General features: G+C 40.2%; 2 annotated features.

Annotated features, from left to right (window-relative positions):
* Nucleotides 12,421-13,445: an enhancer, noted in NCBI's record as "VISTA enhancer hs1477". NCBI's record gives its function as "enhancer in: limb[3/6]" and the evidence as "EXISTENCE:transgenic organism evidence [ECO:0001131][PMID:17130149]".
* Nucleotides 18,623-18,792: an enhancer, noted in NCBI's record as "experimental_53495 CRE fragment used in MPRA reporter constructs". NCBI's record gives its function as "activates a minimal promoter by MPRAs in K562 erythroleukemia cells, with activity observed for both the introgressed and non-introgressed 2:159785604 variant alleles {active_cell/tissue: K562}" and the evidence as "EXISTENCE:reporter gene assay evidence [ECO:0000049][PMID:34662402]".

Genomic DNA, 23,343 nt, shown 5'->3' on the forward strand with positions numbered 1-23,343 from the left:
GATCACCTGAGCTCCAGAGGTTGAGACTGCAGTGAGCCATGATCACACCACTGTACTCCAGCCTGGGTGACAGCGAGATCCTGTCTCCAAAAATAAAGAAAGAAAGAAAGAAAGAAAGAAAAGAAACCATTACTCTTAATGTGTTTTCTATCACCTTATACACAACTTCTTCTGGTCATAAAAATATTTTGGGCAGTCAAAAAATACCCAGACATGGTTTGAAAGATCAATTAATACTACAACACTTATAATAAACAAAAAACTATGACAGCAATAGAAAAAAAACAGCAATATTTGACCCCAGAATTAGACTCCCCAAAGGCAGAGACAACTTTTAACTCAGCTGTTTTTCCCTTTACATTTAACTCTTTATTTTTAGTAATAAGTTTATGCTACTATTTATTGTATTTATTGATTAAACGATTTTAGACATTGCAGTGGACTGACTGTGTGTGTCCCCCACAAAGTTTATATGTTGAAAACCTAACCCTCAATGTGATGGTAATCAGGTCACAAGGGTAAGCCCTCATGAATAAAATTACGGCCCTTGTAAAAGGGACCCCAGAGAGCTCTTAACCCACTTCCACCATGTGAAGACACAAGAAACTGCCAGTCTGCAACCCAGAAGAGGACCTTCACCAGAACCCAACCATGCTGGCACGCTAATCTCAGACTTCCAGCCTCCAGAACTGTGAGAAATAAATGTTAGTTGTTTAAGCCATCTTTTTTTTTTTTGGGAAGTGGGGACAGCCTCACTCTGTCACCCAGGAGTCTGGAGTGCAATGGCATGATCACGGCCCACTATATCCTTGACTTCCCAGGCTCAAGCGATCCTCCTGCCTCAGCCTCTTACGCAGCTGTGCACCACCACACCCGGCTAATTTTTTAAAATATTTTGTAGAGACAGGGTCTCCCTTGCCCAAGCTGGTCTCGAAATCGTGGGCTCAAGCGATCCTCCCACCTTGGCCTCCCAAACTGCTAGGATTACAAGCCTAAACCACTGTGCCCGTCCCGCTCTGTCTATGGTACTCTATTGCTTTTTCATAGTCTTCTAGAACAACCATATGGTATTCTATTACAGCAGCCTGAACAACAGATTCAGACAGACCTTATTAACTTACTTCCTACTACAGAAGATAAGGATTTAGCACCCTCTCACTACCACTCCTCCTACCCAACCCTCCACACATATTTCTCCCACCCTGTGTGTTTTAATCACAATTTTGTATTAATTGAATATCCAAGGTTTAAATATAAGGATGCTGCAAATATTGCTCATAAATAAGCAATATCATTTTTACATTTTCTTTTCTAGACAAATTGTTTTTTTGTTTTTCCTGGAATTAAATACTGCTTACTTATTCGTCTTGTTTTGTTTTTTTTTTGTATGTGTGAGTGGACTTTCAAAAATATATATACATTTTCTTATGCTTCCCCAATTCTCTTCCAGACAACATGGTCAAGCACCTCAAGTATTCTAGCAGGTTTTGGTTTTTTGTTTCTTCTTTTTGATGGAGACAACTCTCCTAGATTCTTCTGTCCTTCTGTTGCTGTTTGTAGTGACTGATCTCTAGAGTTGCAACATTTTGTCATCCTAGGATATCTCTTCACCATCACTATAGAAATTTAATTTGCCTCTTTCTTTTGTTGTAATTCCTGTTTCCAAACTCAGAGCTTCCTCTTTCTTCATTTATTCCCCTCTTTTAGTGACACACATTCCTGAAGCTTCGTGGGGAAAAAAAGAAAAAAAAAGATGCAAAGCAAAGTTTTTGAGATTTTACCCGTCTGAAAACAACTTTTTTGCTATGCTCATATTTGGTAGTTTGGCTGGCAAAGAATTGGATTGGAAAGATTTTTTTCTCAGACCTTTTTTTTTTTTTGAGACAGAGTCTCACTCTAACTCAGGCTGGAGGGCAGTGGCGCAATTTTGGCTCACCACAACTTCTGCCGTCTGGGTTCAAGCTATTCTCATGCCTCACCCACCTGAGTAGCTGGGATTACAGGCATGCACCAGCACACCCAGATAAATTTTGTATTTTTAGTAGAGACTGGGTTTTACCATGTTGGCCAGGCTGGTCTTGGACTCCTGGCCTCAAGTGATCCACCCACCTTGGCCTCACAAAGTGCTGGAATTACAGCTGTGAGCCACCGGGCCTGGCTTTTTCTCAGAAGTTTGAAGGCATTGCAATATTATCTCTTAGCTCCCCGCATTGTTGTTGAGAGTCCTGTGCCATTCTATTCCCTGGTAACCTCTGTTTTTCTCTCTGGATGCTTTTGAATTCTTTTTATCCCCAGTAGAAATTTTATAGTGATGTGCCCTGGTATAGGTCATTTTTATTTCTCATTCTCACTGGGGCCCTTCACCAGGGACTCACATCCTTCATTCTGGAACATGTTTCTATTTCGTATATGTGATGGTTAGTTTTATTTGTCAACTTGACTGGGCCATGGGGTGCCCAAATATTTGGTTAAACATTATTGTGGCTTTGTCTGTAAGGGTGTTTCTGGATGAGATTAACATTTGAATTGGTAGTCTGGGTAAAGTAGATTGCCCTCCCCAATGTGGGTGGCCTTCATCTAATCCATTTCAAGCTTCACTAGAACAAAAAAGACTGAGAAAGAATTCACTCTTTCAGCCAGGTGCAGTGGCTCACATATGTAATCCTAACACTTTGGGAGGCCAAGGCAGGTGGATCACTTGAGTTCAGGAGTTCAAGACCAGCCTAAGCAAATGGTGAAACTGTCTCTACAAAAAATACAAAAATTAGCCAGGATGCCTGTAGTCTCAGCTACTTGGGGGACTGAGGCAGGAAGGTCGCTTGAACCTCAGAGGTCAAGGATGCCGTGTGCAGAGATCATGCCACTGCACTCCAGCCTGGGTGACAAAGTGAGACCCTGTCTCAAAAAAAAAAAAAAAAAAAAATTCACTCTTTGACTGTCTAGGAGCTGGGACATAGATTTTGTTCTGCCTTCAGACTTGGACTCAGATTGGAACTTACGCTGTCATCTGTCTGGCTTCTCAGGCCTTTGGACTCAGACTGGAACTCCACCATCAGCTCTCCTTGGTCACCAGCTTATTGACTGGAGATCTTGGGGCTTCTCAGCTTCTCTATTCGCATGAACCAATGCCTTATAACGTGTACATATTCCTATTGGTTCTCTTTCTCTGGAGAACTCAGACTAACACGGTATTTTTGACAATGTCTGCCTCTCTTTTTTGCCTTCTCTCTGAAATCCTTGTTAATTAGAAGTTGGCCCTCTTGAACTACCCTAATTTTCCTATCTTTCTTCTTTCTTTTTTCCAGCTTTTTTGTTCTACTTTTGAGAAATTCTTCAACTTTGCCTTTCAACCCCTATATTGCATTTTTTACTGAAAATATTTTTAATTTCTAAAACTCTTTCTTGTTCCTTGGTTATTCTATTGTCTTAGCATTCTATTATTTTATGGATGCAATATCATCACTTATCTTTCTGAGATTATTAATAGTTTGTTTGAAGTTTTCTTCTGCTCTTTGCACTGTCTTTGATTCTTCTGAGTTTCTTTTTTTCTTTTTGTTCTTGTTTCTATTTTTGCACATCAGAGGTTTTCCTAAAAAATCTGCCAATTCGTATTTTAAAGTGAGGCACTAGATTGGAAGCTCTGAGTACATGAATGGGGCTTATCAACTGGTGGGTTTCATTGTAGGTTGATCAAGTGGGACCTTGATGGTTTGTTGGATGATCTTAAAGGTGACCAGGTCCACTGGGGAGAACTTTTCCAAAACAGAATTATCCAGACTCCTGACTGAGGGGTCTGGGCCTTCCTGCCAGCATTCTTGTGGCTGAGAAGGGGAGAAGGCCTGGGGAGTCACCACAGGGTATGTAGCCTTTCACTCAATCCAGCTGTTTCCTGTCCAGTGCCTCAAGGTCTCACTTGATCACCATGTGCCCTCAGTTGTTTCTGCCATCCCTGAATTCAGAGTCTCTAGAATAATTTTTTCAGGAATCAAACCTCCCATTTCCTGCTGGTGTTGGGAGAGTGTAATTACTGGACTTCTGGGAGTGGGGTAGAAGTTCAAGGAATGGAATTCCTTCTAATAAAAACTCTCAATTAATTTTCCTGTTTTTATCCCCCTCCTTATCCTTCCTTCGAAGGCAAATGGTGTCTCTAACTTCTGAGTTTCTCAGGTGTTCTGGGCCATGAGTCAGTTTGATTCTCATTGGCAACCACCTCCGCAGAACTATAAGCTTCAGTTTTTGTTATTCTGTGAATCCAGTTATCACTTATCCTCTGCCCTTAACTTTCCGAAATTTTGTTGGTGTCTCTAAGCCACTGTTGTCATCTCTCAGTTCTGCTTGTCCTTTGTTGTCTCTTCACTGTCATTTTGGTGAGGTTTTAGGAGAAAGCATAGATGAACACAAAACGTGTTGTTAAAGATATGTAAGAATCCCTTACAATACATAAGCATAGAGAGCAAAATGTGAGAGCATGTTTCACACCCTTTCCCTCCATTCCCCCAAGGGGAATCACTGTCAGTGATCTGGAACTCTCCCCAGTTCACTCTTGACGATGATACATACACAAATCATCTGATTCTGTTTTTTTCTTCTGGCCTTGGTTTTGTTAAGTGACACATTGTCTTGGAGTGATTTCCATATTGACACACATAGGACTATCTCATTCTTTTTTATTTTATTGTATTTATTTATTTATTTTTTAGATGGAGTCTCACTCTATTGCCCAGGCTGGAGTGCAATGGTAGAATCTTGGCTCACTGCAACCTCTGCCTCCCGAGTTCAAATGATTCTCCTGCCTCAGGCCCCCAAGTAGCTGGGATTACAGGCAAGCACCACCATGCCCAGCTAGTTTTTGTATTTTTAGTAGAGACAGTGTTTCACTATGTTGGCTAGGCTGGTCTTGAACTCCTGACTTCAGGTGATCCTCCTGCCTCAGGCTCCCAAAGTGCTGGGATTACAGGTGTGAGCCACTGCGCCAGCCAATTTTATTTTCTTTTATTTTATCTTAAGTTCCGGGGTACATTTGCAGGATGTGCCGGTTTGTTACATAGGTAAACATGTGCCATGGTGGTTTGCTGCACCTATCAACCCATCACCTAGGTATTAAGCTCAGCATGCATTAGCTATTCATCTTAATGCTCTCCCTCCTCTTGACCCCTCAATGGGCCCGAGTGTGTGTCGTTCCCCTGTCTGTGTCCATGTGTTCTCATTCTTTTTAATACCTCTATAGTATTCAGTAGTATGAATTTATCATGACTGATGTAATTATTTAATCTTTTTTAAAATTTTACACACACACACACACCTACACATACATACACTTTCATATACACACATGTATCTTTTTGAAAGGTCAGTAAATTAAGTGACTTGAATTTTAGAAATATCAAACAATTGTATATGTGCAAAGAAGAAAGTAAAACAGGACCATGTTATATGCATGGAAATCTTCATTGTAGAGTTATGTCTAATAGTGAACGGATAGAACCATTTCCAAGGCCTCCAAAACCAGAGCTATCAGGATTCACCTCCAGTTGAAGATGTGTCATAAATTAAGCTAAAGCACTTTTGAAATTATAGAAGCCCATCACCATAGAGTTATGTAAGTCAATGGCTCTATGGTTTAATCTGCAATTCATATTTTTACAAAATGTGCTGTGCTCTTCACCAGTCAGAACCGCTTCGTGTCAGAGTCCTGACAGGAAATAGGCAACACTTTCAAATGGGGTACTGAGGAAAAAGGAATAATGGGACCATTTTCAGTGGTGTGGCAAAGTTAAAGGAAACCAGAAAAAAATGGTGAAGCACCTTGGGAGTAGCAACAGGGAGAGACATTATCACCCCAAGACCTGAGAGTGAAGAGAACAAAGCAGTTACTGGGCACGGAGAGTAACTCTAGCTGTAAAAGAGGCCACCTGCATGGTCCTCATTCAGCAAGGAAAGGAGCAGGAGGTGGTGGGTGACCTCACTCTTAATCTGGTGTTTTCATTTGCTAAATCTGGCAACCCTAGGTGGGCAAGGGTAGAGAGCCAATCTGAAGGGGTACATCAGTGTCCTTCTTTGCTCATTAATAGCAATGCATGTGGACCTCAGGACAAAGCCACTCACCAAAACCACAGGCAACACATTTATCCAATTATGGTAGTGAATTGGTTATATCTGCTCTGAAAATTGTTCAACTATTTAGGAATAGCTGTGGATACCTTGGCTTATAATTCCAATTATATATATTTAAAAAGAGGCTGCACATAAAAAGAGACAATAAAAAGGTAAACTTTAGAGGGAAAAATGTCCCCTACTTGCCTCTGCCCATTAGTATTTAGTTTCTTCATCATTCCCAGTATGGGAATCTGTAAGATATGCCACAGGAGCTGAATGGAATATCTTTATCCAGGCTTTAGGAGAAAAATTCCATCACGAGTGGAGGCTAAGTTGACCAGAGAATGCAAGAGGAATAACTTGAGCAAAGGCTGGAAACTACTATCCTCATGCTTACAATAAATGTTAACCTAAGACAGAAACAATGTACAAAGGAGAATGTGAATGGGGTCGATAAGAAGTCAGAGTTCTCCACAAATCAATATGATTAAACAATATTCTGGTAATTTCAAAACAGCAATCTGCTTTAAGAATAAAGTTTATCTTAATTTATAAGCAAATAGACAAAAATTGGAGACAACATGTCTACAGCTATTCTTAGATTAAAATAATAAATCTGATTGGTTGGCAAAAGAAGAGTCCAGAGGAAGCACTGTGATTTTATAGTTTTGGCAAGTACTTTTCCCCTAAGAAAGCTTTCTTAATTTACAAATAAACGTCATTTATCCCATTTCCACAGTTCATCTATTTATTACCAAAACATTACATTTTTAGAGATTTAGCATGTCATACTTTTATTATAAAATGTGTGTTTTTAAAAAGTACTGAAGAGGAAAAATGATTAAAGTTCTGCCATTTGGCTCAACAGCTGTAAGAGAGTTTGAACTCATCTTAAGCGGTGGGCTACTGTTCACTCTTTGATGTCTGGTGAAGTCCAAGCATCTGGTTTCCAAATAGTGGTCTACATAGCTCATCTGACACCTGGGATAGATCATTTTTTAACACACCCCTTTATGTGTGACAAAATTATCCTCAGTAATAATCCTGAAATTAAATAATAATGTAGCCAAAAGCATAATTTTTCTTTTATTGAACTTCCTACATATAATCATCCCAGGAAAAAAATAAAATAAATATTACAGTACCAAAAAAGCAATGGTCTGATTCTGTTTAATTACATTAGAGTAGTTTTTTTTTTTTTTTTTTAGGGGGTGGTAAAACACATAAAGAAAGGCTTCCAAAAAATTTAACTTCACAAGATGTGACTATAAAAGGGTAGCACAAGGAGTTTTGCAGTGATAGAACAGCCTGTATCTTGTCGTGGTGATTACATGAATTCACACATGATAAAATTGTATAGAACTGGCTGGGCATGGTGGTTCATGCCTGTAATCCCAGCACTTTAGGAGGTAGAGACAGGATGATCACTCGAGCCCAGCAGTTCGAGAACAGCCTGGGCAACATAGGGAGACCCTGTCCCTCAATAAATAAATAAATATTAGCTGGGTATGGTGGCGTATGCTTGTGTTCCCAGGTACTCAGGAGGCTGAGGTGGGAGGATCACTTAAGCCCCAGGGGTTGAGGCTTCCGTGAGCGGTAATCCTGCCACTGCACTCCAGCCCGGGCAACAGAGTGAGACCCTGTCTCAAAAAATAAAAAAATAAAAATAACAGTTGTATAGAACCACACACACCCCCACAAATGAGTGCATATAAATCTGAAGAAATCTGAATGAGGTATTTGAATCCTGGTTTTGTTATGTATTATAGTTATGTCACATGTCATCATTGGGGGTAACTGGTGAAGAGTACCAGAATCTCTCTGTATTATTTCTGCAACTTTCTGTGAATCTATAATTATTTCTAAGTAATAAGTTTTTGTTAAAATTTATATGCTGTGTGATTTCATGTATTTGATATTCTTGAAAACACCAAAATATAGCAACATTTGCCAGGGATGGGAGAATGTATGACTACTGAAGCTGAGGGAAACCTATCTAGGCTTGTCAAATTTTAACCTGCTTTGCTTGCTTTTAGCTGGTTTTTTTTAAAAAGAAACTCCCATCAGCCATCCTATAGATAACATCTCTGACATACAGGTCACAATGGTAAAACAGCTGCCTAAGTTGTTTTTCAGGAACTTAAAGACAGCTCTCAACCAGTCCAAACTGGGTAAGACCACACTGACCCTTTGGGCCTGAGCAAATGTCTGATGGGTGATCTTTTGATGTCAGAGGCCATGAGCTTCACCCACTGATCATGCTAAAGCTACCATTTTTGGAACATGTGTCCCACAAAGAGCCATGAAGCTTAGCTATGCTTGCACAGAACACCAATTACCTCACTTTTCCTTACCCCCACTCACCTTTCCTTGTACCTCAGACCACCCTGCTCCCCTATCCCATAAATATCTCTAAACCCCATCTTTGGGGAGATGAATTTGAGACCTGTTCTCTCATCTTCTCACTTAGCTGCCATGTGACTAAATCCCTTCTTTGCTGCAAAGCTCATTGTCTCAGTGATTGGCATACTGTGTGGCAGGCAAAACGGGCCTGGCTCCATAACACAACAAAGGATCCACACAAGGAGAGTTGTTGGGTGATGGAATAGTTCTATATCCAGATTGTGATTGTGGTTAGAAAAATCTACACATGCATTAAAATTCACGGAATAAAAATGTCAAGTTTACTGTATGTTAAATTTTTAGAAAATTTTGTCATTATCTTATTTTTAAGACATTAAAAGCTTTGGAATCAGTCAGACTTGTATTTAAATATTGGAATATTAGGCAAGTCAATCTGTTTTCTTATCTGTAAAATAGTAACAATGCCATCCATCTAATGATAATGTATGTAAAGGCCTTACTTAGCACATTGCCCAGCACTAAGAAAGCACTGAGCAAATGGTCTTATTTATTTGTTTCTATTTTTTATTTAGAGGATTCACTCTGTAAATAAATTTAGAATAAGCAAAGAGATTACTAGGTATCTCCAGTGAAAAACTGTATGTCTAGAACACACTGTTTATCTAATTGTTGACTTTGAGTTATTTTATGACTGTAATTTGTAGGTAATTGATAGCAATCCAAAATAATTCTTATCCATTGTCATGCAAATAAAATCTGCAGTGAATTGTGGTGTGGTGGTTTCATTTTACTCCTCCCAAAGCCCACAAACTCCCCACTCTAGTGAAAAAAGCCAGTTTTGTTTCCCTTTGTAAATTCATTTTAACATTCCCTTACTCCATATAAAATTGTGGTGCTTTTGACTTCTCCTTTGAATCAGTTGTAATATGTCTACAGTTTATTCATTAAATAATGAATTGAGTAAAATCTTTGACACGTGTTTATTTTATAGCTGCAAGAGAATCATGATTTTACCTCTTTTTGAAAGCTATCCTTTAACAATTTTGTTTTTCTTTTTTGAGACGGATTCTTGCTCTGTCACTCAGGCTGAAGTGCAGTGATGCACTCCAGTGGCACGATCTCGGCTCACTGCAGCCTCTGCCTCCCAGGTTCAAGCAATTCACCATATTGGTCAGGCTGGTCTCGAACTCCTGACCTCAGGTGATCTGCCCACCTCAGCCTCCCAAAGTGATGGGATTATAGGCATGAGCCACTGTGCCCAGCCCCCTTTAACAATTTTATAATTGAAAAATGCTCGCAGACAATGTAAAATTGGGAATAAAGCACTCTGTACAGAATCTTAGATACCTAGTCATTTTGGCTGTTTTGAACTATCTGGAATTTTGGTGTTTTATTTAAAAAATAGTCAAAATAGTCCTACCAATCAAATACAGTTTTGGGTTTGTTTTGTTTTGTTTTGTTATTTTTTGTTGTTGTTTTTTTGAGATGGAGTCTTGCTCTGTCACCCAGGCTGGAGTGCAGTGCTGCAATCTCGGCTTATTGCAACTTTTGCCTTCCGGGTTCAAGCAATTCTCCTGCCTCAGACTCCCAAGTAGCTGGCATTACAGGTGCCCACCACTACACCCAGCTAATTTTTGTATTTTTAGTAGAGACGGGGTTTCACCATGTTGGCCAGGCTGGTCTCAAACTCCTGACTTCAAGTGATCCGCCCACCTTGGCCTCCCAAAGTGCTGAGATTACAGGCATGAGTCCCATTGCACCCAGCCAAATACAGATTTTTTTACCCTTCATGTAGTGCTTTGTACACAGAAGCTCCTCAGTAGATACTTGCTAAGTGAATAAATTGAATTGATATTTCATCTGAGATTGCTCAATCAGATGTAAAGGCAGACTTTAATTTTTGTACTCATGGGCTGAGACAAACATCCATCGATGCTCTTCAATATTTATTTGTGATTGTTCTGGAATTTTATCAGCCAGGAAGGGCTAGATAGTAACAAACATCTCCCAAACCTCAGCAGCTTAACACAACAAAAGTAATTTTTCACTGTCCATTGCAGATTGCAAGGGAGCTCTTCTAGTCACTGTTACTCCAGGATGAAGACCATGGAGTCTCCATCTCAACATTTACTCCTACAACCACTGCAGCACTGGGAAGCAGACCTGAGGAATCATAGGATTTGAAATTTTCACCTAGATATGACACATATCACTTCTCATATTCCACTGGCCGAAGCAAATCACATGGTCTCACCTCTAAAGGAACAATGAAGTACAGACCTACTACGTGCCTGGAAAAATGACCAAAACAGCATTAAGGATTTCCATATCAATACAGTCAGTGATAAAATGAGTGCAGAAGGATGAGATGCCCAGCAATGGACTTATCATATATATATGATTATATATTTTATATATTATGCATTATAAATATTTACAACTTATATGTATATATAATTTCAACTTTTATTTTGATTCATGGGGTATACATGTGCAGGTTTGTTACATGGGTATATTGCGTAGCACTGAGCTTTCGGGTACCAATGGTCCTATCACCCAGGCAGTAAGCATAGTACCCAATAGGTAGTTTTCCAGTCCTTGCCCCACTCCCTCTCCTTCCCCTATTGCAGTCCCCCATGTCTATTGTTCCCGTCTTTATGGAAACCCAATGTGTACCCAATGCTTAGCTCTGACTTAGAAGTGAGAACACCAGCAATGGACTTCAAATGAAATTATTACTAAAAACTGTAGGGCTGCTAGAAATTTACTATACACCTTCTTCCCTCATAAATGTTCCCTGTAGAAATGACGCAGGATTTTTTGGTGCCAGTTCGCCAGCCAGAGACCTCTGCAGCTGGTGACACCCTTGCCCAGGGCCTCACTCGGCTTCAGACTCACCACTGGAGGCACCCTGCCTACTTGGCCCCGCAGGCTGTGCTTGGCTTGTGCCCTGGCCAGGATCCCATGACCACTGCAACTGCGTACTCAGCCTGCAGCGAGAGGGGGTGCATGAGCAAGCAAGCACAGGGCCTGGCCACAGCACACAGTCAGGTGTGTCAGCTGCTGCAGCGGGCGGGCTGCTGCTATGGTGGGTGGGCTGCTCCAAGCAGCCCACAGGCTCTGCACGGGGTATGTGTCTGAACCAGGTGTGTCACAAGTGACTCCCTCAGTGGGTTCCAGTGACCAGACAAGGGGGATGCGTTGGTACTTGAAAACTTGGAGATGCCAAAAAAACACAGAGCCCCAAGGGGTGTCATTCCCGCCGTCCATAGCTTGGAGTGGATGGGGGCATGCTAATAGCTCTTTCAGTCCCTCTGCCCTGCTCCGGCCCATGCCCCCTGGGCTGGCCTGGCCCCACCACTGCTTCCCATCACATGGGGCAGCCACCTGGCACTGGCAGAGTGCAGAGGGCTACAGTGTTACAGGGTTACTTGGGACCTGCGTTAGGCAGGTCCCAAGTTCTTGTCCTACACCCAAGAAGAATTATGTCAGCATAACCCAGCAAGGTTATGCTGACAACTGAAGAGTGAGTCGGGTGGAGAGTTTTATTGAGCACAGAACAGTTCTCTATGAAGAGGGGACCCAAAAGGGGCAGTCCCCCACCCAAAGTCATGTAGTCCCAAAGTGCAGCTGAGTCCGAGGCTTTTATGCACTCTGAATTGGGTAGTGTGTGCTGATTGGTTTGTGAGTATGCAAAACAGCCTAAAAAAAGGCACCACTCAGAGATGGGCATGACCGTGTACAAAATCAATTAGGGAAGGGTAGGTATACGAAAAATAAGTGAAGGGTAGGGATCAATCAGAGGAAAGTGCACCAAACAGGAAGAGAGGTTCCAAGATTTATCCAAGATTTGTAGCTTGGTTTTCAGGCTTTAAATTGTCTTTGATTTGAAGGTGAGGTTTCACTAGGGATTCATCCCTGTCTGCCTAGGATTTGCCTGCCTCCTACTGCTATCACCACTGCCCCACAAGTAGAAAACATTCTTTGCATATTTTTCTTTTTAGTTAGGGTTTACAGAAAGAGAAGGAAACTCTTTCCTTGCCATTATCATCATCATAAAACCATTAAGGCACCCTAGTAGAGGTGAGGAGAGCCTGTGGGCACTAATCTAAAATAAGGAATAATCTGAATGTCTGAGGGAAAATGAATACTTAGGAACAATCAAAATAAAACTTCAAGTGAGGAAAAATAAGAGGAATGAAAAATAGTTCTAATTGGATGAAGGTAAAAGATTCTTCCAAAAGTAGATGGATAGGTCTAATGGAGTGTTTATCTGATTATCTACCATGGGGGTGGCCACAGAGCCCCAGCTGATTTTTGTGTACTCCTTGGTGAAGACAGAATGTTATGCCCTGGCACAGTCTCAAAACAGGAAGAATGAAGGTTTTTAAATCACTGTTTTATTGAAGGAAAACACTAGTCTGCATCAGAGGACTCAAAAAACCCAGGAAGTGAAGTGTAGCCAACTACTGCCTGGGGCTATGGGGGAGTGGGGAATCTGTACCTGGATCCAGACCAAGTCTGTTTCAAATTTATGTGATTGAGAATTTCTCTTTGAAAAGAGCACTTCATGGGACCCTTGGGAGCTGTCAAACTCTGCCCGGGGGCAGAAGATTAACTGCTCTGTGGACCAGCAGGGAGAAGCCTAGTAAATCAGAAGCCCCTTGTTTGTGGGTCTGTGGACTTACAGGTGGCGATGTAACAGGCAGTGCCTCTCTGCAGGCGACTGGGGGACTTCAGAGTTTGTGGCTCAGAACTAGCTGTGTGAATGGAAAGGAGCATTTGAATCCATTCTCCAAACTGCTTATTGAAAAACACACTTGAATGAATCTGCAAAAGAAGTTTCCTTGAATTATCAATCTTCTGGAAGAATCTCCAGGAAATGGTGTCTTCAGGAGAGGAGAACATTCTTTTTGTTTCTTATTGAGGGAGTGGTCAAGTTAAGAGCATGACTTTGGAAACAGCTCTGCTGCCCTTTAGTGGTTGTGTGTTTGTGACCCTAAATTGTCTCAGTGGTAAAATGAGGATTATAATGAGGATTAAATGAGTCAACTACATGGAAAGCAGAACAATGAACATAGTGTGTGCTATTGGCTTTTATTATTCCATATATTCGGGTGTATTACCTCTTAAAAATATTTTAAATGTTTTTATAAAATATTGAAATATTTCTATAAAGCAAGTAATTGCCTGATAATCTCTCTCTTTTCTGGAATTTAATTTTTATAAAGTTTGGTTACAGTTAGACTAAACTATTATGCCCCTTCCTCCCTCCTCCCTTCTTTGCATTTCTTTTCTGTGATCTGCTCTGGCAAGTGCAGAGCTCCCTGTAGCTATATGGTAGCCCAGGAACATGAAAGGCCATTTGCATCAGAAGCCTTCCATATGCCATTCTCCACTTATCATCTGACTGCTCCCAGAGAGCTTATCAATAGAAATGAAATGACTACTACTCCAAGGACAGTCCCTACATTGTAGGTGCACCCCAAAAGAGAGGAGGGTGCTCTCTTCCTTCGTTTCAACTTGTAATTAGTAAAGGCAAGAAAATACCTTCTCAAATGTAGGTTTAAGAATATGGATGTTAAACTGGAATTTCCACTCTCTTTTTTTTTTTAATTAATAAACTTTATTTTTTAGAGCAGTTTTAGTTTCACAGCAAAGTTAAGCAGGAAGAATAGAGAGTTTTCATATACCCCTTGTTCCCACACAAGCACAACCTCCCCAAATATGAACATCCCCCACAAGTGATGCATTTGTTACAATTCATGAACCTACATTAGCACATTGCAGCCTCGAACTCCCCAAGCTCAAGTGACCTTCCCACCTCAGCCTCCTGAGTAGCTGGGGGCTACAGACACATGCCACCATGTCCAGCTAAATTTTTTATTTTTTGTAGAGAAAGGTTCTCACAATATCCCCAGGTAGGTCTTGAATTTCCTGAGCTCAAGCAATCCCCTCACCTCAGCCTTCAAAAGTGTTGGAATTACAGGTGTAAGCCACCACACCTGGCCTGGGTTTTTCTGTAGATATAAGTTTTCAATTTATCTGGACAAGTATCAAATATTTTAATTGTTTAAAAAACTGCCAAACTGTCTTCCAAAGTGGCTGTACCATTTTGAAATCCTACCAGCAATGAATGAGAATTCTTGTTGTTCCACATCAGCACCAGCATCTGGCATTGTCAGTGTTCTGAATTTTGGCTATTCTAATAGGTGTATAGTGGTATCTCACTGGTGTTTTAATTTGCAATTTTCTAATGATGTATGTTGAACGTCTTTTCACATGCTTACTTACCATCTGTATATGTTCTTTGGTGATATGTCTGTTCAGATCTTGTCTTATTTTGTTTTGTGTTGCTATAACAGAATACTTAAGACTGGGTAATTTACAAAGAAAAGAGGTTTATTTAGCTCACTGGTCTGCAGGCTGGGAAGTTCAAAATTGGGTGGTCACATCTGGTGGCTTCTGGTGAAGCCTCAGGCTGCATCGAAACATGGCAGAGAAATGAAAGAGGAGCTAGGCTAATGTGACAAAGGGCAAAATACAAGAGGCAACCTCCCTATACCAACCAGCTCTGCAAGGAACTAATCCATTCCTGGGAGAACTAACAGTCTCTCAAGAAAGACATTAATCTATCTTAACAACCTAATTACCTCTTAAATTCGCCATCTCCCAACACCATCCCATTGAGGTCTAAGCCTCAACATGAGTTTTGGTGGGGACAAACTGCACTCTAACCATAACGGATCTTTTGTCCATTTTTTAATCAAGTTATTCATTTTCTTCTGGTTTAGTTTTAAGAATTCTTTGTATATTTTGGATAATAGTCCCTTATCAGATGTGTCCTTTGCAAATATTTTCTCCAAATCTGTGGTTTGTCTTTTCTTTTCTCTTGACATTGTCTTTTGCAGAGCAAAAAAAAAAAGTTTTTCATTTTGATGAAGTCCAGCTTAAAAATTATTTCTTTTGTGGATTGTGCCTTTGGTGTTTTACCTAAAAAGTCACCACTATATTCAAGGTCATCTAGTTTTCTTCCTAAGTTATTTTCTAGGAGTTTTATAGTTTTGAACTTTATATCTACATCCATGATCCATTTTGAGTTAATTTTTGTGAAGGTGTAAGGTGTACATCTAGATTATTATTATTTTATTTTATTTTATTTTGCTTGTGGATGTCCAGTCATTCCAGTACCATTTGTTGAAAAGATTATCTTTGAGGCTGGGTGCAGTGGTTCACGCCTGTAATCCCAGCACTTTGGGAGGCCAAGGCAGGTGGATCACGAGGTCAGGAGATCCAGACCATCCTGATTAACATGGTGAAACCCCATCTATACTAAAAAAATTACAAAAAAAATTAGCCAGGCGTGGTGGCGGGCACCTGTAGTCCCAGCTACTCGGGAGGCTGAGGCAGGAGAATGACGTGAACCCGGGAAGCGGAGCTTGCAGTGAGCCAAGATTGCTTCACTGTACTCCAGCCTGGATGACAGAGCGAGACTCTGTCTCAAAAAAAAGAAAAGATTATCTTTGCTCCATTATGTTGTCTTTGCTCTTTTGTCAAAGATCAGCTGACTATTTTTATGTGGATCTATTTCTGGGCTTTCTATTCTGTTCCATTGATCTCTTTATCTATTCTTTCATCAGTACTGCACTATCTTAATTACTGTAGCTTTATAGTAAGTCTTGAAGTTAGGGAATGTCAGTTCTCTGACTTTGTTCTTTTTCTTCTTCTTTTTTTTTTTTTTTTTTGAGATGGAGTTTCACTATTGTTACACAGGCTATAGTGCAGTGGCATGCTCTCACCTCACTGCAACTTCTGCCTCCCAGATTCAAGGAATTCTCCTGCCTCAGCCTCCTAAGTGTCTGGGATTACAGGCATGTGCCGCCACGCCCGGCTAATTTTTGTATTTTTATTAGAGATGAGGTTTCACATCGCTTCTCGGCCTTTTGGCTAAGATCAAGTGTGAGATGAGGTTTCACTCTGTTGACCAGGCTGGTTTTAAACTTCTGACCTCAGGTGACTCACCACCCTCGGTCTCCCAAAGTGTTGAGATTACAGGCATGAACCACCGTACCCAGCCTGTTCTTCTCTTTTAATATTACGTTTGCTATTCTGGTTTCGTGTTTTGTTTTGTTTTGTTTTGTTTTGTTTTGCCTCTCTATGTAAACTTTAGAATTAATTTGTCAATATCCACAAAATAACTTGCTGTGATTTTTATTGGAATTGTATTGAATCTATGAAGTTGAGAAGAACTGACATCCTGAAAATATTTAATCAACCTTAATTCTTAATTGCATGATCATGAATAATCTTACTAAGTTAAGACTAAGATGATCATGGAATATCGCTCCATTTATTTAGTTATTCTATTTACTTATTCTTTGATATCTTTCAGTAGAATTTTATAGTTTTTCTTATATAGATCTTGCTCATATTTTATTAGATTTATACCTAAATATTTCATTTTGGGGGGTGCTAATGTAAATGGTAATATATTTTAGTTCCACAGTATCATTTTGATATATAGGAAAGTGGTTAGCTTTTGCATATTAACCTTGCTGTATACAGGATACCTCGTATCCTGTATCCTGTAACCTTGCTATAATTGCTTACTAGTTCCAGGAGGTTTTGTTGTTATTGTTGTCAATTCTTCTGGATTTTCTACACAGACAATTATGTCATCTGCAAACAAAGACAGTTTTATTTATTCTTTTCTTTTCTTTCTTTCTTTCTTTTTTTTTTTTTTTTTTTTTTTTTGAGATGGAGTTTCGCTCTTGTTGCCCAGGCTGGAGTGCAATGGTGTGATCTTGGCTCACCGAAACCTCCACCTCCCGGTTTCAAGTGATTCTCCTGTCTCAGCCTCCCGAGTAGCTGGCATTACAGGCATGCACCCCCACACCCAGCTAATTTTGTATTTTTTGTAGACATGGAGTTTCTCCATGTTGGTCAGGCTGGTCTGGAACTCCTGACCTCAGGTGATCTGCCCGCCTTGGCCTCTCAAAGTGCTGGGATTATAGGCATGAGCCACCGCGCCCGGCCTTATTTACTCTTTTCTAATCTATATTTCTTTTACTGCCTTTTCTTGTCTCACTGAATTAGCTAGGACTTCCATTAAAAAGCAGTGGTTAGAAGGGACATCCTTGTCTTGTTCCTGATCTTAGTGGGAAAGCATCAAGTTTCTCACCATTAAATATATTAGTTTCAGGTTTTTTGTAGATGTTATTTATTAAGTCGAGAATGTTCCTCTCTATTCTTAGTATGCTGAGAGTTTTTATTATAAATGGGTGTTGGGTTTTTGCCAAATGCTTCTCCACATCTATTGATAAGATCATGTGATCCTTTTCTTCTTTAGCCATTGATGTAATAGGCAATATTAATTTATTTTCAAATGTTGAACAAACTTTACATACCTGGGATAAATCCCACTTGGTTATAGTGTATAATTCCTTTTATACATTGTTGAATTTGACTTGCTAATATTTTGTTGAGGATTTTTGCATGTATGTTTATGAGAAGTATTGGTCTGTAGATTTCTTTTATTGTAACATATTTGTCTGGTTTTGGTATTAGGGTGATGCCGCCTCATAGAATGAGTTAGAAACTATTCCCTCTGCATCTATTTTCTGGAACAGATTGTGAATAACTGGTATAATTTCTTCCTTAAATGTTTGGTAGAATCCACCAGTGAACCCATCAAGTCCTGGTTTTGAAAGGTTATTAATTATTGATTCAATTTCTTTAATAGATATAGACCTATTCAGATGGCCTATTTCCTCTTGTGTGCATTTTGGCAGATTGTATATTTCAGGGAATTGGTCTGTTTCATCTAGATTATCAATTTTGTGGGCATACCGTTGTTCATAATATTTTTTATTATCTTTTTAATGTCTATGGGATCTGTAGTGATGTCCCTCTTTCATTTTCGATATTAGTAATTTATATCTTCTCTCTCTTTTTCTTAGTTAGCTTGGGTAGAAGTTTATCCATTGCTTTTGGTTCTGTTGATTTTCACTACTGACTTATTTTTAATTCATTGGTTTTTGCTCTAGTTTTTATGGTTTATTTTTTCTGCTTACTTAAAATTTAATTTGCTCTTCTTTTACTAGTTTCCTAAGGTGGAAGCTTAGATTATTGATTTTAGAGCTTTCTCCTTTTCTAATATATACATTCAATGCTATAAATTTCTCTCTAAGCATTGATTTCACTGCACCCACAAAATTTGATGGTGTCCAAGTCTCCAGGGGCTTACAGAGTGTAAATGTGTATGAACAGGTGAGTCATGGGCCCCTGGATTTCCAGGGAGCCTACATTTCCTGCTTTCTGTAGCATGTGGTCCAGAGTCCTACTGAGAAACCTGCTGCAGACACACCCTTCCCAGTAACCAGCTAACTAACCAACCAAAACCCAAGAAACTAGGAAATCCTAACCAGTGTTTCCTAATCATCAGATTTCTGAGGGGTAGGGTCTGAGTATCTGTACTTTTTAGGCCCTCTATGTGATTCTGATAGACTGGTGCCTTAACTACAACCACACTCTTCCATTTGCATTTACCTGAATGTGATTCACTTTCAGGCTTCAGTATATGATGTTCCTTTGGTCTAGATTTCCCTTCCTCCTCCTGCTCATCCTTAAAGTCCAGCTCAGAGGTGGTCTCCTCCATAAAACCTTCACAGAGGCTCTCTTCTACCCCCCTCTATCTTCCTACCCCACCCACAAATTAGAATTAGTCATTTAAATGTCTATGTCTGCAGACTGGGCCATGAGCTACTTGAAAGCAAATGTAGTGACTATATTCATTATCTATTCCTGAGTAACAAATTACCCCCCAAAACCTGCTGGCTTAAACAACAATAAACGTTTATTAACTCACAGCTGCTGTGGTTCAAGAACTCAGAAGCAGCTTAGTTGGGTGTTTTAGGGCCTAAGCCTCTTATGAAGTTGCAGCCAACATGTAGGCCAGGGTTGCAGTCATCTGAAGGTTTGCCTAGGGCTGGAAAATCCACTTTCAAGATGGCTCACTCAAATTTCTAGCAAGCTGGTACAAGAGGTTAGCAGAAGTTCTCAGTTCCTTTTTGATACAGTGTGGATGATTGTGGCCTCTAAATCTCATGTTGAAATGTGATTCCCAATGCTGGAGGTGGAGCCTGGTGGGAGGCTCCCAGGTGTGGATCCTTCATGAATGACTTGGTGCCCTCCCCACAGTAATGAGCTCATGTGAGATCTGCTTGTTTAAAAAGGAGCCTAGCACCTCCTTCTCTCTTGGTCCCTCTCTCGCCATGTGACACACTGGCTCCTAGGCCTTTTGCCATGATTATAAGTTTCCTGAGGCCCTCTCCAGAAGCAAATGCTAGCACCACACTTCCTATACAGTCTGCAGAACTATGAGCCAAAATAAACCTCTTTTCCTCATAAATTATCGAGTCTTGGGTACTCCTTTATAGCAAGGCAAATGGACTAATACACTCTTCACATGGATCGCTTCACAGGGCTGCTTGGGTATCCTCACAACATGGTGGCTGACTTCCTTCAGAGCCAGTAATATAAGACAGAGCACAGTGAAAGCGTCAATGTGTTTTATGACCTAGCCGTGAAGGTCACACACCACCACTTCTGCATATTCTATTGGTCATGCAGGCCAGCCGTGATTCCATGTAGGAGAAGATTATGGAAGAATGTGTAAATATGGTCATGTACCGCATAACAATATTTCTGTTAGCAACGGGCCAAAAATAAGATGGTAATCCCATAAGATCAAAATACCATAGTTTTACTGTACCTTTTCTATGTTTTGATATGTTTAGATACATAAACATTCACCATTATGTTACAATTGCCTACAATACAGTAGCATGCTGTACAGATTCGTAGCCTAGGAGCAATAGGTTATACCATATAGCCTTGGTGTGTAGTGAGCAATACCATCTAGCTTTGTGTAAGTATATTCTATGACATTCACACAATGACAAAATCATCTATGGACACATTTATCAGAATGTATCCCCGTTGTTAAGTGACACATGACTGTATGAAGAGGTGGAGATCATTTGGGGCCATCTTGGGGGCTGACTACCACAGTGAATATCTGTTCTTTTTGTCCATCGTTTGCTCCTTTCCCTGTGTGGAAAACATATTTCATGTTGTACAACTGCTAGTAAACCCTCCTCATCCAAAGGAGAAGCAGGTAATCAAAGTGTGGCCAATCTGAGGACTTCATTTCCCTAACCAGATTGGTCAGTCAGATGGGCATGTGATCAAGTAGAGCCAATCAATATCTTTCTAGATTTTTGATAAGTGGATTCTTATTGAGAGATGATCTCTATTCCTGTACTTCTTTGAGCTCCAAAAATGATCTAAGCTGGAGCTTCTTATAGCCATTCATTCAGGTTATAGTGGAGGAAGCTATCTTTGGTAAGAGAAAATGAGGCCAGCACACAAACAGGCAAAGATGAGCAGAGATGAAAACAGAAAAAGGAGTCCTAATGAGATCATTTGAGTCCTCTTGATCCAGTGATGCCTGAAATTTACACCCAGACTTTTCAGTTACATGAGTCAATACATTTCCTTTTTTTTTTTAAGCTATTTTAAGTTACTATCACCTGCAACCAAAACAGCCCAACAGATCAGCAGGGTCTATATCTTTTTCCTCTTAAATTTCTTGCATTGGGATTAATTCCTAATACTCAATTCAAATTTGATGAATACATTATTTAACTATTATACTTTTACATAAAAACAATCTGGTACATGCAAACACTGGGGATTTTTTTAAAAAATACTTGACAACTTTCTAAGTAACAGTTACAAGAACCCTAAATATCTTAGAACCTCTAAAAGTTTTGGAATCTGGCAGCCCCCAAAACCATTGTTAGTCTGCTATGCTCAGGGTCAGTTTTCTATAGCTCTGTGTAATGTGGTTGAATGAGTCATTCACCAGGATCCTGAATATACACGGAGCTAGTTGGGGAGACAGGGCTGCTGCTGATGAGTACCACGTTGCCTTAGTGACAGGAAAATGGGAAGGGGCCCTGAGTGGACCTCCAAACACTCACTTATTTAATATGTGGATAAAATTCTGTTGCAGAAATTAAGGTGAGTAAATGGGTTTTTAAAAAAATCCATAGAATGATGGTTGTGGCTGGCGGTTTATGTCCCCTCTAAGAGCCATGGCCAGAGAGGAACTTGCAAAGGAAAGATGCAAGATCAGGTTTACAGCTGCTGGTGAAGAGTCCACTAAATAACCATGCTAGTAATCAGATTATCCCAACTTTTGCCCTCACTGAGAGGCTGAAAGGAACATAGAAAAACATGAATGTTTTGCTGTGACTTAGATCAGTAACTTCATGTGTGAATGGTTGTTCTGGTATAAGATATTATAGGGAGATATAAAAAGAAAGGAAGTCAAATACGGAAAAGAGAGAGGCAAGTTGTCTGCCTTTTTCTTCAAAGCCTTCTAAAATTCCACAGTTTTGTTGCGTCTAGGAAAACTGTTATACACATCATCAACCAAGCGACAGATCTTTATTTTTAATTCATCACAGAAGTCTGCTGCTGAAATGATGCTTGAGAGAAAAAAAATCTCTTGTTGGTAAGAGCCTTTCCTGAAGTCAAGGAAAACCTCAGAATTCCTTAGTTTTCCCCTGGGCTTTTATAGCAAGTCCAGTTTTCTTTAACCCTATAAATTCCTATTGTGGCTTCTAGTCACATACCAACTGTTATTCTTCAGAAAGGAAACTACGGTATCTAAATCAGGTACAAGCCTGGATTCCAGAGTCAGACTGCCTGAATTCAAATCATTGCTCCCCCACTTACCTGATCTGTAGAACCTAGGACAAGTCACATTTTGTGCTTCAGTTTCCTCATCAGTAAGATGGGAATAATAATGTGATGAGCTGGGCACAGTGGTGCATACCTGTAGTCCCTTGGTTTCTGAATACAAGAAGCTGAGACAGAAGGATCACTTGAGCCCTGGAGTTCAAGGCCAGCCTGGGCAACACAGAAAACTCTGCCTCCAAAATAATAATAATACTAAGATAATAGTATGTCTTTACTAAGGTATGGCTTAGAATAGTTACTGGCACATAGTAAGCCCCATATAATTCTATTATTATAATTATATAGACAAAGCCACATGTTTTTCTATAAATCTTCCTTGAAGTTTGACCATCACATGTAGATTTTTTTTTCCTATTTGGCCCTCTTTTAAAAATTATTATTAAATACATCTCATGGTAACTACTTGCGGATAGTTAAATGTTGTTAACTTGTTCAAATCAGTTTGGTGGTACACTGTTGTTAGTGCCTTGCTGGGGCCTTCACCCCTTTGAGTCACGGGAGCTTGGATCTTCTGCCCCTGCACAGGGTCACTGGGTGATGAGGTCCATGAAAGTGAGTCTTGGGCCTATCAGCAAACAAGCCTGAGTCAGGCAAATCAGCCTCATAAGCTTGGTGAGCTCCAGACTCTCTGGCCATAGTCTTCCATGAAGTATTCACTTGAACCAGACGCCACAATGCCCCAGAGCAGAATCCAGTGGATCAAACTACTGGGTGCTGCCTTCAGTGGCAGGCACAATACTAAACAAACACCTAAGCCTGGAGTACCATTCTGGGCTCACCCAAAACTGAGTAGCTGGGACCACAGGGACACACTACCACACTGGACTAACTTTTTCTATTTTTTGTAGAGATGGGGTTCCACTACGTTGCCCAGGCTGGTCTCAAACACCTGGCCTCAAGTGATCCTCCTGCCTCGGCCTCCCAAAGTGCTGGGATTACAGGCATGAGCCACCACGCCCAGCCTAAGAAGTTATTTCTAACATCTCTTATGCTAAACAATAAATTCACTAGTGTAGATTCAGAAAGGAATAGTTGAAGGAGCTATAGTAGCTA

The sequence above is a fragment of the Homo sapiens genome, chromosome 2 (genome assembly GCF_000001405.40).
Source record: "Homo sapiens chromosome 2, GRCh38.p14 Primary Assembly".
NCBI classification, from domain to species: domain Eukaryota; kingdom Metazoa; phylum Chordata; class Mammalia; order Primates; family Hominidae; genus Homo; species Homo sapiens.